General features: G+C 42.1%; 1 protein-coding gene across 13 annotated transcripts in view; it reads left to right on the top strand.

Moving 5' to 3' along the window:
* USP32 (ubiquitin specific peptidase 32) overlaps positions 1-13,754 on the top strand; it is a 245,090-nt gene that overhangs the window by 225,645 nt on the left and 5,691 nt on the right. For all 13 annotated transcript variants that reach the window (XM_011525372.2, XM_011525371.2, XM_011525376.2 and 10 more), the window contains 4 exons: positions 3,842-3,928; positions 6,089-6,209; positions 11,121-11,312; positions 13,319-13,607. In XM_011525372.2, the coding sequence (XP_011523674.1) occupies positions 3,842-3,928; positions 6,089-6,209; positions 11,121-11,312; positions 13,319-13,607 (689 nt within the window). The remainder of the gene's footprint in view (positions 1-3,841; positions 3,929-6,088; positions 6,210-11,120; positions 11,313-13,318; positions 13,608-13,754) is intronic.

The raw sequence follows: 13,754 nt of genomic DNA, 5'->3' as shown, positions 1-13,754 counted from the left end.
CTCAACGCAACCTCCACCTCCTGGGTTCAAGCGATTCTCCTGCCTCAGCCTCCTGAGTAGCTGGGATTACAGGTGCCCGCCACCATGCCTGGCTAATTTTTGTATTTTTAGTACAGACAGGGTTTCACCATGTCGGCCAGGCTGGTCTCAAACTCCTGACCTCAAGTGATCTGCCTGCCTCAGGCTCCCAAAGTGCTGGGATTACAGGCATGAGCCATCGTGCCCGGCCAAAATAAGTTATTTAAATAAATAATTGTTTAAAGTATTTATTTTAAGATTTAAATAAATCCTAAAGGAAAACTGCAAATAATAGATAAGCAGTTTAGTTAATGAATGTTGTGTTTAGTAAAGATGAAAGTTGGACAAGATTAAATTTGAAGTGAAGTAATTGAATTAAAGAGCTTCTAGACGAGGGCTTTTCCCAGGACTTGCTAATGAATTGGATGTGGAGTATAGGGAAAGAGGAATCCAGGCTGACTTCTTTTTTTTTTTTCTTTTTTTGGCGTGGGGATAGAATCTTGCTCTGTCACCAGGCTGGAGTGCAGTGGCATGATCTCGGCTCACTGCACCTCTGCCTCCCAGGTTCAAGCAATTCTTCTGCCTCAGCCTCCCAAGTAGCTGGGAGTACAGGTGCATGCCACCACACTCGGCTAATTTTTGTATTTTTAGTAGAGACAGGGTTTCACCATGTTGGCCAGGATGGTCTCGATCTCCTAACCTCATGATCCCACCTCAGCCTCCCAAAGTGGTGGGATTACAGGCGTGAGCTGCTGCACCCGGCCCAGGCCGGCTTTTTACCCTGAACAATTGTTTGTGAATGGTGGTACCATTTAATGGAAGAAGGAAAACTGGAGAAGGAGCAGATTTTGGCAAGAAAAGACAGGAATCAAGTTAAATTCAAGAAGTCTATGATATATTCAAGTGGGAAATTCACTTGAATGTCCTCTGCTGGAGATACAGATGTCATCAACAAAAAGGTGTATTTAAAGCCCTGAGACCAGATGATTAACATTTAGAGAGTGAGAGTTAAATAGAGAAGATTCCCATCATCTATACATGAACTCTGAACTGAGTTCATACGCATTCCGACATTTAGAGATTGAAAAGGGAAAAAGAAGCATCAAAAGAGATTGAGGCTGGGTGCAGTGGCTCATGCCTGTAATCCCAGCACTTCGGGAGGCCAAGGTGGGAGAATCACTTGAGGCCAGGAGTTCAAGACCAACCTGCCCAACATGGCAAAACCCCGTCTCTACTAAAAATGCAAAAATTAGCCGGGCATGGTGGTACGTGCCTGTAATCCCAGCTACTTGGGTGGCTGAGGCCTGAGAATTGCTTCAACCCTGTAGGTGGAAGTTGCAGTGAGCTGAGATCACACCACTGTACTCCAGCCTGGGCGACAGAGCAAGACTCTGTCTCAAAAGAGAGAGAGTAAGATTGAGAAGGAGCAGCCCATAGTGTAAGAAGAAAACCAGGAGTTAAGTGAAGGAAGTATTTCAGGAAAGGAGTGATAGTCGTTTCAAATGCTACAGAGGACTGGGAATTGCCCGCTGGATTTGATAAAATGGTCTTTGGTGATCTTTGTGAAAGCTATTTTAGTATAGATAAGGGAGTAGAGATTGGAGTGGGTTATGTCCTTCGGACATTAAAAAAGATAGCCAGGCATGGTAGCTCTCACCTGATTCTAGTGGTACTTGGTAAAGTTATGGATGAAATAAGAGTGGCCTGGAGTTGATGACTTTTATAGTTGGGTAATGAATACATGGGATGTTCATTGTATAGTTCTCGACTTCTTGAGTGTTTATGTCAATAAATTTGAAATTTTAGATTAAATGGACAAAATCCTGGAATTAAGGGTCTATGGAGAAGAGTGATTATTTTCAGGGACAGTGGGTAAAGAGGCAAGTGAGGATTTCAGGGCAGTGATTGGAGGTTTCTCTTGGGTGAAAGAATCATTAGAATAGGGATGTTCGAATAAGTAAGTAACCCAAAAAGATAGGAGGTGGTGGTTGCAAAGTAGGATACTTGGAATTGAGATTTTGGAGGTAGAAAAGTTTGTATTCACAAGGTCTAGAATATGACATTTGGAGAGGGTTTACATATGGGGTGGAGGAACTTATTGTTGGAAAAGAGAAGACCAAGTTACTGTTATATTAATTGCATTGATGTTGATGTCACCAAGAATAATAACAGGAGAAATGGTGGAGAAAAAACACAGTGAACTGGGTGCTGCAATCTTTAGTGAGTAAAGAAGATATGTACCTTCCAAGGAGGAATAGCAGGTAGCATAATTCAGTAGCACATGCTACAAAGAAGCTGGAATGTTTTAGAAAAGGAAGGAAGAAGAAATCATGCACAAGTGGCATAGGAGTAAGGAAGAGATCTATTTTACCTCCAGGTTCTGGAACGTATGAGAATACAAAGTGCAGGGGGTAGGGTGCGGTGACTCACGCCTGTAATCCCAGCACTTTAGGAGGCTGAGGCAGGAGGATCACTTGAGCCCAGGAGTTTAAGACCAGGCTGGACAACATGGTGAAATACTGTCTTTACAAAAAATGTAAAAATTAGCCAGGTATGGTGTTGCGTGCCTGTAATCCTAGCTACTTGGGAGGCTGATGTGGGAGGATCACCTGAGCCCAGAAAGGTGGAGGCTGCTGTGAGCCATAATTGCGCCACTGCACTCCAGCCTGGGCAACAGAGTGATACCCTGTCTCAAAAAAAAAAATGGAAAAAGTCTGCAGGGGGAGCAGGATTCTCAAGAAAGCCAGGCTTCATTCAGTTAGAGCAAAAAGGTAAAAGAAATTTTCAGAAGGGAAGTGCTGCACAGCTTTCTATGAGTGCTACTTGACTGTTTTATCCCGTTATCTTTCTTTTGATTCCTCACTTATTGCTGGCCTGATTTGGACATGGTACTAGACAGTACAGGCTATCAATGATCATTCACTGGACGAGTTATGCAGAAAGATGGGAACTCCTATGCCAGATGTGATTCTCACCTTTGCCCTTACAGTGACTCTTTATCATGGTTTCATTACCTTCAATAGCCCATGTAATAACCACTGTCAGTTGCCAGATGAGCTGTAAAGTATGCCACTCTTATGTTATATTCCTCGCATTGCTTCCTTCTCCCCCACCCCCAGCTTTATTGAACTCAGCTCACTGCAACCTCTGCCTCCCAGGTTCAAGGAATTGTATATACATCTAAGGTGTACAGCTTATGTTTTGATAATATGTATAAATTGTTGCATTGCTCCTTGTTAGGGCAAGGATGAGTAAATTTTTTTAAAAGTTGGAAAATTCACAGGGCCATCTTGACATAATCATTGGCAGTTAAAAGCAGTTACTCCAAAAATGGTATGTAGCTTATAACTCTGAGTAGTTAAGGCAGTACTTAGCATGTACCACATCAGCGATTCTGATTAAAGAAGACTTCTAAATATACAGCTTTCTGCAATGTGTCGGTGTTCTTGTCATGGAAAGATCTAATTATTTTAGTTTAATGTGAATTAAATCCTCTGATAGAATTAAGGCTGAAGGATAATTAGTATTTGATTTCATGATTAGCTTATCTTATAAAATTTTCATGGGCCACATGGACTCCCTTAGAGACATCTGGCAGTCTTATGTCTACCCTTCTGTAAGCCCAGATAGAGGATGGGAAGCCAGAGTGTATTTGGTACTGGGCTGCAGCTAATGGATTAGGGTAAGTAACATTGAGCTGTCAACATGAGCGTACTGCTATGGCAAATGCCCCTTCCTAGGGTTACTTCAAGAGAAGATGAAGAGGAGTTGGACCTCGAACCAGAAATGCTTCTTACACTCTTTTTGTTCTCTTCTGTTTCAGTGACGACAGTATGGGCTATCAATATCCATTCACTCTACGAGTTGTGCAGAAAGATGGGAACTCCTGTGCTTGGTGCCCATGGTATAGGTAAAGTGACCTGCAAAAGAATTACTTTAGTAGAATTTCAGCTTTAGATATTATACAGTTTTCATAAGATTTCCAGTTTTGAGAAGTAAATAGTGAATAATGAGAAACTTAAGAATTGTGGCTGGGCACGGTGGCTCACGCCTGTATTCCCATCACTTTGGGAAGCCGAGGTGGGTGGATCACCTGAGATCAGGAGACCAGCCTAACCTAGTAAAACCTCGTCTCTACTAAACATACAAAAATTAGCGGGGCGTGGTGATGCGTGCCTGTAATCCCAGCTACTTGGGAGACTGAGGCAGGAGAATCGCTTGAACCCAGGAGGCAGCGGTTCCAGTGAGCCAAGGTCATGCCACTGCACTCCAGCCGGGCAACAAGAGCGAAACTCCGTCTCAAAAAATATTTTTCACTTCCTTTTGAGGTCAATAGATAAGTTTTGCTTTTGAGATTTAGCTGGTTTTATAAACTACAGTCCATACCAAATTCATAGCTTGTGATAAACATTTATTACTCTATAACTTCACCTCTCCTTTTTTGTGTTGTTTTGTTTTGTTTTGAGATGGAGTCTCGCTCTGTCACCCAGGCTGGGGTGCAGTGGCTCAATCTCAGCTCACTGCAACCTCTGCCTCCCAGGTTCAAGCAATTCTCCTGCCTCAGCCTCCCGAGTAGCCGGGACTACAGGTGCACACCACTGTACCCAGCTAATTTTTGTATTTTTAGTAGAAATGGGGTTTTGCCATGTTAGGCTGGTCTCAAACTCCTGACCTCAGGTGATCCACCCACCTCAGCCTCCCAAAGTGCTGGGATTATAGGTGTGAGCCACCACGCCAAGCCTCTCGTTAAATATAAGTTTGCCAGTTCTAAGCACAGTAGACCATAGTCTTTACTAGACCTTGCTGGAAATCTGTTCTTGGTTTTTAAAGAGTTACGGAGATTGATTGGTCATTGCTGTTACAACAGGGAAAGTGCCTAATGATACTAAAGTCCGCCTTTAGAGAACTGCAATAGACTTAGCAAACTGAGTCTAAAGTAGGCATTGGCCAGGCGTGGTGGCTCACGCGTGTAATCCCAGCACTTTGGGAGGTGGAGGCGGGCAGATCAAGAGGTCAGGAGATTGAGACCATCCTAGCTAACACGGTGAAACCCCATCTCTACTAAAAATACAAAAAATTAGCCAGGCATGGTGGCGGGCACCTGTAGTCCCAGCTACTTGGAAGGCTGAGGCTGGAGAATTGCTTGAACCCGGGAGGCGGAGCTTGCAGTGAGCTCAGATCGCACCACTGCACTCCAGCCTGGGCGACAGAGCAAGGCTCCATCTCAAGAAAAATAATAATAATAATAAAGTAGGCATTGGAACCATGACTTTATTATATCCTCCCCCCTACCCCATCTCCCACCCCACCTCTGCAACTCTATAAACTTTTTTTTTTTTTTTTTTTTTTTTTTAAACAGAGTCTCACTCTGTCACCCAGGCTGCAGTGCAGTGGTGCAACCTCGGCTCACTGCAACCTCCACCTCCCAGGTTCAAGCAATTCTCCCACCTCAGCCTCCCAAGTAGCTGGGATTATAGGTGCCTGCCACCATGCCTGGCTAATTTTTGTAGTTTTAGTAGAGACAGGGTTTCACCATGTTGGTCAGACTGGTCTCGACCTCCTGACCTCAGGTGATCCACCCACCTCGGCCTCCCAAAGTGCTGGGATTACAGGCATGAGCCACCATGCCCGGCCCCTGTAAACTTTTATATGCATTTATTTAATCTGCCATTTTACAGACAAGGAGCTAGGTGTTACACCAGATAAATTGTCCTACCTCAGAGCATTCAATAACTGAATTTGGAATTTCTTGAGTGCTGTAGTATCTCAAACAGGCAATTCCCATGTCATTTATTTGCCATAAAGTTCACATCTTCCTGTGATTAACAGGTGGTTATCAAGTACTTTGTAAAAATAAAGACTTGAAAAATGAAAAGCATGATTCCCTGAAACTGTACTAATTATTAATAAGTATCCCTACATTTATCAGAGTCTGAAGTTAGAAGCCCATGACAAATTGTGAGGCCCAAGAGGAAAGCAGAAAAGTAGGAAGGGAGAATATTTTTTATTAAGAAAATTTAGATTCCTTCATAATTATTTCTTCCTCTGTGGATCTTTTCCCCCTTTTTAGATTTTGCAGAGGCTGTAAAATTGATTGTGGGGAAGACAGAGCTTTCATTGGAAATGCCTATATCGCTGTGGATTGGGATCCCACAGCCCTTCACCTTCGCTATCAAACATCCCAGGAAAGGGTAAGTATTTAGGGCCACCATAAAATGGTGGTTTTTATATGAGAAATTTCCACCAGTGTAACTATTATGCCATTTCTGTTTTAGACAATTTAAAAACAACCAGAAAAACCTTCATTGGCATCCTCTATGGCACCTAATATATTGACATGTTTGCTTGAGCTTTTTCATTTTCCAACTTCTGGAGTTCATTGTATTGGGGCATTGTCTTTGTCCATTTTGTGTTGCTATAACAGAGTACGTGAGGCTGGTAACTTGTAAAGAAAAGAGGTTTATTTAGCTTACTGTTCGGCAGCCTGGGAAGTTCAAGGACATGGTCCTGGCTTCTGGCAAAGGCTTCTGTGCTGCATCATAACATGGCAGAGAAGATCAAAGGAGAACAGACACAGGCAAGAGGGAGGACCAAACAGGAGGAAGATCCTCGCTTTCTAACAGCCCGCTCTCTTGGAAACTAAGTTCTCAGAAGGAGAACTCAACTACTGCAAGAATGGCACCAACCATTTACAAGAGTTTCACCCCTATGACCCAAACACCTCCTGCTAGGCCCCACCTCCTAACAACGCCACATTGGGAATCAGATTTCAACATGCATTTTGATGGAGACAAATAAACCATGTCCAAACTATAGCAGGCATTAAATTTCAAAAATATTAATAAGTGAACCTTGAAACAAAACTGTGTCTGGCCATGACATATCAATAAGCATCTCTCTGTTAAATATTATTGAAGTTGCAGCATTTGGTAACCACAGTTACTTAGTTCAAATGTGTCCCAGGGCTATAGCTGCTGCCTTTAATAGGCAGAGTGATCAGAAAAGTTACAGAAAGGATTGAAATGTTTCCATTTTGGGTACCTAAGAGCACATCTCAGTGGCCACTCTTTGCACTTCACATTCTTCTATTGTCACTGTCTGGCCAGAGCAATTTTTAAATTTTGAAAATGTTGCTTCAGAAATAATTTTAACTCCATACCTAAAAATGTTTGCCTCAGGCAGTTTTTAATCAACCAAATATTATTTGAATGGTAAAGACATTAAGAATCTGATAGAGAGGTAAAAACAACAGAGTCAAAGGAGTTCCTTAAGTCACATGAGGAATTGTAGTGGTTTTTGCATTTTTATGGCTCTTGATAGTTGGAAATTTCCTTTACTATTTTTTAAAGCATTCCCTTTGGATAAGTTAGTAACGGTAACTGACTTTTCTGTCTTGTTGTGCTATGGAGGACTGGGGAAACTACCAATTCTAGACCTAGTTTCTTATTTAGATCCCAAAATATGCCGCACACACCAAGGCTCCTGGGAGCCCTTTCTAGCCAGAAATAAGTATAATTTGTGGATACTTGTCAAATGAAAGATCACTAGGCTAAAGCTAAAGAAAGCTGAAGAGAAACTAATGTTCTAGATCATGCTCACTAGCAAGGAGGGAAAATTTTACTAGTTGATAGATTCATAAATCTTTGTCAGCACAAAATCTGACAAGACATTACTGTCAATGATGACAAATTATTTGGCTCTATAAATCTCTTCCCCTTTTTAACAAATCCAGTGTGCAATCGGAAAAGCTCTTTAGGACATCCTGCTTATAGGAAACGGCCTACGTGACCTGTTAAATCTCACCCTACTTCCACTTTCAGTGATGCACTTAGGATACCATGGAAGTGAAGGGCTATTGATGCCTTGCTAGGGAGTGGGCCCATATGACTAATCTGGGCTCCCCTACATGTAGGGTTTCTGAATGTGCTTAGAAAGTCATGTAGACAAAAGAGATACCGTGGTTTAAATTGGGATTATTGCCCATATACTTTATATTTTTTATTCCAGTGATTTCCCTTTTAGGAATTTATCTGAGGGGAGAATACTCTGTAATTACTCCATAATTTGCAGGCAAATATCATCATAGCATTTTTTAGAATAGCAAAAAGTTATTAACAACTTATATTTGTCTCACATTAGAGGAATGGTTAAATAAAGCATGGTGTATTCATTGGATAAAATATAATGCGGTTGTTGAAAATGATTACCAGGAGTTTTTGCTAACATTTATGGGAACAAGCTTATGATATGTGAACATTTTTTAAAAAACAAGACATAAAGTTGCATATACTGGAAATAATACCTTCAATATTGAAAAAAATACTATTTAGGAAAGAGGACAGAAGAAAATCTGCCAATATTTTGACAGTGGTTGCCTTTGTATTAAGAATATAATTAAGAATATAAAAGGATTCCCTGCCTTTTAACATTTTTCTCTGCTTTCCAACATGAATATTATACCTAGTAATCAGAAAAAAAACAGAGGCAATCACTCTTATCCTTTACATTTCTCTCCTGTTGGGACCTCAGATTCCTCAGTAGAAAATTAAACTGGATGCCAGCCTGGGCAATATGATGTCACCCTGTCTTTACAAAAAATGCACAGATTAGCCAGGTGTGGTGGTGTGCACCTGTAGTCCCAGCTACTTGGGAGGCTGAGGTTGGAGGGCTGCTTGAACCCAAGAGATCAAGGCTGCAGTGAGCTGTGATCTCGCCAGTGCACTCCAGCCTGGGTAACAGAGCAAGAACCTGTCTCAAAAAAACAAAAAAAGAAAGAAAAAAAGAAAATTAAGCTAGACAAATTCTTAGGCCACTCTCTTTTTTTCAATAGTCTTCTATGAAAACTATTACTTCATTTCCTGTGTTTTGTGTTAAAGATGAGCTTTAAAGTAACTTTGAAAAAGAAGAGGGTGCCTATAAGTAATTTATAGATTATTTAAACAATAGTAGAGGATCTAAGCGTAGATCCCAAGAGGTAAAGGGAATCTTTATCACTTTGGGAAATTTACTGATAAATAGAAATTATTGTCAGTACAGTCCACAAATATGTTTTTTATCAGCCTTCTTTCCTGTCTTCATCTAGCACTGTAGCCTGTGTTCCACAGAAAATATAGTCAATAAAAATCAACATTCTTTACTAGCTTACTCTAATTTGTGGTTGGCCATAAAGTATTCCTGGTAGAGATAATAGAGATAATATTTAACTGGCTATGAGAAAGGAAACACTACCGTATATGATACACCCCTTTTTCTACTCATTCCAACAACGATGATGCAGCACGTTTCCTTTTGAAGCACATCAGTTTTTTCCTTGAGTGACCAGTTCAAAAGATGATGACAGTTAATATCTTGTTACTACAGAATTTGTACTCAAAAAAGAAGTCTATAACCCAAGTCCAAGCCAGATTTCCTTTTCTAAAAAAAGAATTTTCCTCTAAGTTCCCCTTTTTAAATGAGCTCTTTAGCCTGGATAGTTATGCAGTGCTAGAACCTTAATTGCACGATCAAATCCAGCCTTGCTAGTTTATAGCAGCATTTGAGAGCCTCGTGACTCTCATATAGGGAAGAAGTCTCACCTGAAAACCCATTCTAAACTGAATGTCTTGAGCTGTGCCAATTTGTATTGCAACAGCCTAATGTTCCCATCATGAGTTTCAGGAAGGGAAATTCATGGAGGAAGTTCACCTCTGGAAGGGAGGAGCAATAAATAGGGTGGGTGATGGACATATGTGACGTTTGCCACAGAGAGGCAGTCAGTGTGGGCCTTGTGGTCTGGGCTCTGCTTTGGGACACAAATATATACTGTGTGAAGTCTCATGATAGCATTCATAACCCTGATGCTTCACCCACCTTCCCATACATTAGAGGGACAAACAGAAGGATCCCGGCTCTATGATTCTTGATTGTTTGTCAGGTAGCAGCCAGGCATGGAGAGGAAAAAATTGTTTCTTTTCTGTTGCACTCTAGATCCTTCCTTCTCTCCGTCTTCTTCATTCTACACCACCCCCAACTTACATCCCTGCACCCCGCCCATTCTTTGCTCTCTGTCCTTTCTTATACTTAATTCCTCCTTGCTCCACAGCCTAACATGCTGATTAACAGGACCCCAAAGGTTTGGGTGAGTATTAGGGGCCTTCTCAGCAAAAGCAGCACACTCTTTTGAGCTTGCTCTTCCTTTTGTTGCCATCTCAGATAAAAAGGCCCCATGAGGGAGGAGACAGATAATTATAGACTTGGTATTCTGATAACTCTGTGTTACATGGAATCAGATGCAAATGAGTTGTACCCTGTGGGGTTTCATGCTCTGCTGTGTTGTCTTCTCATGGTGAGCTTTTCTGTGCCCTTATTTCATCCAGCTCTGGTTTCTGTGTTTCATGTTATTTCTCCTAGCCTCTGTAAAGTCTGCAGCATACTAATAATGCTCTGGCTTTCTGATTAAAAGTAAATGGCTTACTATCAGCACCCCTGGCTTGAGGGCCAGCTCACATGTAATCCCTTATAGGATTCCAAAGTTGTTAAATAAATGCAATTCTTTTTGTTTTTGTCATTTTGAAGCGTTCAAAAATTTTTCAAGAAAAGCTATGGTCATATAAATAGAAATTTTATCCAGAATGTTACCGATGTAACATTTGTGAATAAATATATAGGTGCTGTATTTGCTCAGACTCTAGTTTGGGTTGTGTTTTCTTTTCCCTTTTTTTTGAGACAGGGTCTCTCTCTGTCATCCAGGCTGGAGCGCAGTGGTGTAATCACAGTTCACTGCAACCTCTACCTCCCAGGCTCAAGCAATCCTCCTGAGTAGCTGGGACTACAGACATGTACCACAATGCCCAGCTAATTTTTAGATTTTTCTTTTACAGAGACAGGGTCTCACTCTTTTGACCAGGCTGGTTTCGAACTCCTGGACTCAAGCAATTACCCCACCTCGGCCTCCTAAAGTGCTGGGATTACAGGCATGAGCCACCATACCCAGCCAGTTGTATTTTCTTTTTCCTTATATAGAGTAAAATAAGGGTGAGTGACCAAGAGGTTGATGCATACCTAGATCACCACTTTAAATGCCTTCCCACGCACCCCTTTCCTCCTGTTCCCTCTACCTGCAGGTTGTAGATGAGCATGAGAGTGTGGAGCAGAGTCGGCGAGCGCAAGCCGAGCCCATCAACCTGGACAGCTGTCTCCGTGCTTTCACCAGTGAGGAAGAGCTAGGGGAAAATGAGATGTACTACTGTTCCAAGTGTAAGACCCACTGCTTAGCAACAAAGAAGCTGGATCTCTGGAGGCTTCCACCCATCCTGGTATGTTACAGTCCTGCCTCTGAGAGAGCAGGAATCTGGCATAAAAGAAAGAAGACATGAACAAACAGGAGGTTTTGTTATTTTTGAGAATAAGACCTTTCCTGCAGCAGTGTTTAAAACACTTTCTGTACAAGCTTTTTATGTTGAATACAGAGATGAATCTTTCTACAAATATTTTGTAGTTCTTTTTCCTAAAGAGCTTATAACCTAGAAGATCAATCATGTAGACCAGTAACTGCAATTCAGTGCAATGTGAGAACTGCCACAAGGGGTACAACGTGGTGAATTTGAACTTCAAGAGAGGTTAAACTTCTGGCTCTGTGGAGAGAGGAAGCTTAGGCTAACCCTTTGTGGACTCTAGAAGAGCAACTGAGCCTGGAGCCCCCAACACCCACTGCACATAATCATGTGGCTATGGCACACTACTGAGTTGAGTGTGTGTACACAAGCACACCAGTGCACTAGGGCCTGTGTGTTCTTTTAGATTTAATTTACTTCTGCCTTCTCCCTTCATGGATTAGGAGACTGTCCTGTTGTTTGTCAGGAGAATTTGAAGTGACAAATCTTCCTATTCATTAAGATCAGTGTAACTGTAAGGTACTGGCATATTTTAATTCAGATATTTATATGTTTTTTTTTTTTTTTTTTTTGAGACAGGGTCTCACTGTGTCACCCAGGCTGTAGTGCAGTGGTGTAATCTCAGCTCACCGCAACCTCCACCTCTCGGGCTCAAGTGATTCTCTTGCCTCAGTCTCCTGAGTAGCTGAGATTACAGGCATGCACCACTACCACCCGGCTAATTTTTGTACTTTTAGTAGATATGGGGTTTCACCATGTTGGCCAGGCTAGTCTTGAATTCCTGACCTCAGGTGATCTGCCCACCTTGGCCTCCCAAAGTGCTGGAATTACAGGCGTGAGCCACCGTGCCCAGCCATGTTTTCTTATTCTATTCATGTCTCTGTCATACTACTCTGTGAAGCTGAATGTAGGTTTTTCTTAGACCAGAACAGCTTCCCAGGGAATGATGCACAAGAAATTAATAACATTGGTTGTTAGCTAGCTCCACAGATAGGAACTAGAGGGAAGGGGCAGGCTTGGAGACAAGGTGGGTGGGGAGGAGGGGGAGACTTTTTTTTTTTTTTTTTGAGACGGAGTCTCACTCTGTCGCCCAGGCTGGAGTGCAGTGGCACCATCTCAGTTCACTGCAAGCCTCACCTCCTGGGTTCATGCCATTCTCCTGCCTCAGCCTCCTGAGTAGCTAGGACTACAGGCGCCCACCACCACGCCTGGCTAATTTTTTGTGTGTTTTTTATTTATTTATTTATTTATTTATTTTTAGTAGAGATGAGGTTTCACTGTGTTAGCCAGGATGGTCTCGATCTCCTGACCTCATGAGCCACCCGCCTTGGCCTCCCAAAGCGCGGGGTTTATAGGCGTGAGCCACTGCGCCCGGCTGACGGGTAGACCTTTTAAAAAAAATTGAGGTATAATTAGCATACAATTAAAAGCATAGATTTTTAATATCCAGTTTGATGAATTTTGACAAGTATATATTTTCATATAATCATCACATAAAACAAGCAGAGCAGTCATGTAGACCAGTAACTGCAATTCAGTGTGATGTGAGAACTGCCACAAGGGGTACAATGTGGTGAATTTGAACTTCAGGAGAGGGTGAACTTCTGGCTCTGTGGAGGGTGGAAGCTTAGGCTAAGCCTTTGTGGACTCTAGAAGAGCAACTGAGCCTGGAGGCAGTACCCACTGCGCAGTCACGTGGCTGTGCCACACTGCTGAGTTGAGTGTGTGTGCACAAGCACACCAGTGCACTGGGGCCTATGTAGAGGCCTTTATGAAACCATATTTTTGAAGTCTTTAAAAAATAATGAAGAGTAAATGTTCTGTTATATATTCCCAAACATTCACATGTATTTGACTTGTTTTTTCCATGTAAATTTTGTATCTTCAGAACCCTTTAATGCAGATGTTTTCTACCTTTACTTCTCCAGATTATTCACCTTAAGCGATTTCAATTTGTAAATGGTCGGTGGATAAAATCACAGAAAATTGTCAAATTTCCTCGGGAAAGTTTTGATCCAAGTGCTTTTTTGGTACCAAGAGACCCGGCTCTCTGCCAGCATAAACCACTCACACCCCAGGGGGATGAGCTCTCTGAGCCCAGGATTCTGGCAAGGGAGGTGAAGAAAGTGGATGCGCAGAGTTCGGCTGGGGAAGAGGACGTGCTCCTGAGCAAAAGCCCATCCTCACTCAGCGCTAACATCATCAGCAGCCCGAAAGGTGAGGCCTGGGGGCCTTATGCAGGTGCTTTCTTGGGACTCCTGTAGGCTACATATGTTTCTCTGTCTTCTGTTCTGGAACATCAGGTTGGTTGGGTGGAAAGAACCTATCTGGAATCAGACCTATCTGTATTTGAGCTATGTAAGT

This window comes from Homo sapiens, chromosome 17, assembly GCF_000001405.40.
Source record: "Homo sapiens chromosome 17, GRCh38.p14 Primary Assembly".
In the NCBI taxonomy this organism is placed as follows: domain Eukaryota; kingdom Metazoa; phylum Chordata; class Mammalia; order Primates; family Hominidae; genus Homo; species Homo sapiens.
This window is presented reverse-complemented; position numbering and strand designations above follow the sequence as displayed.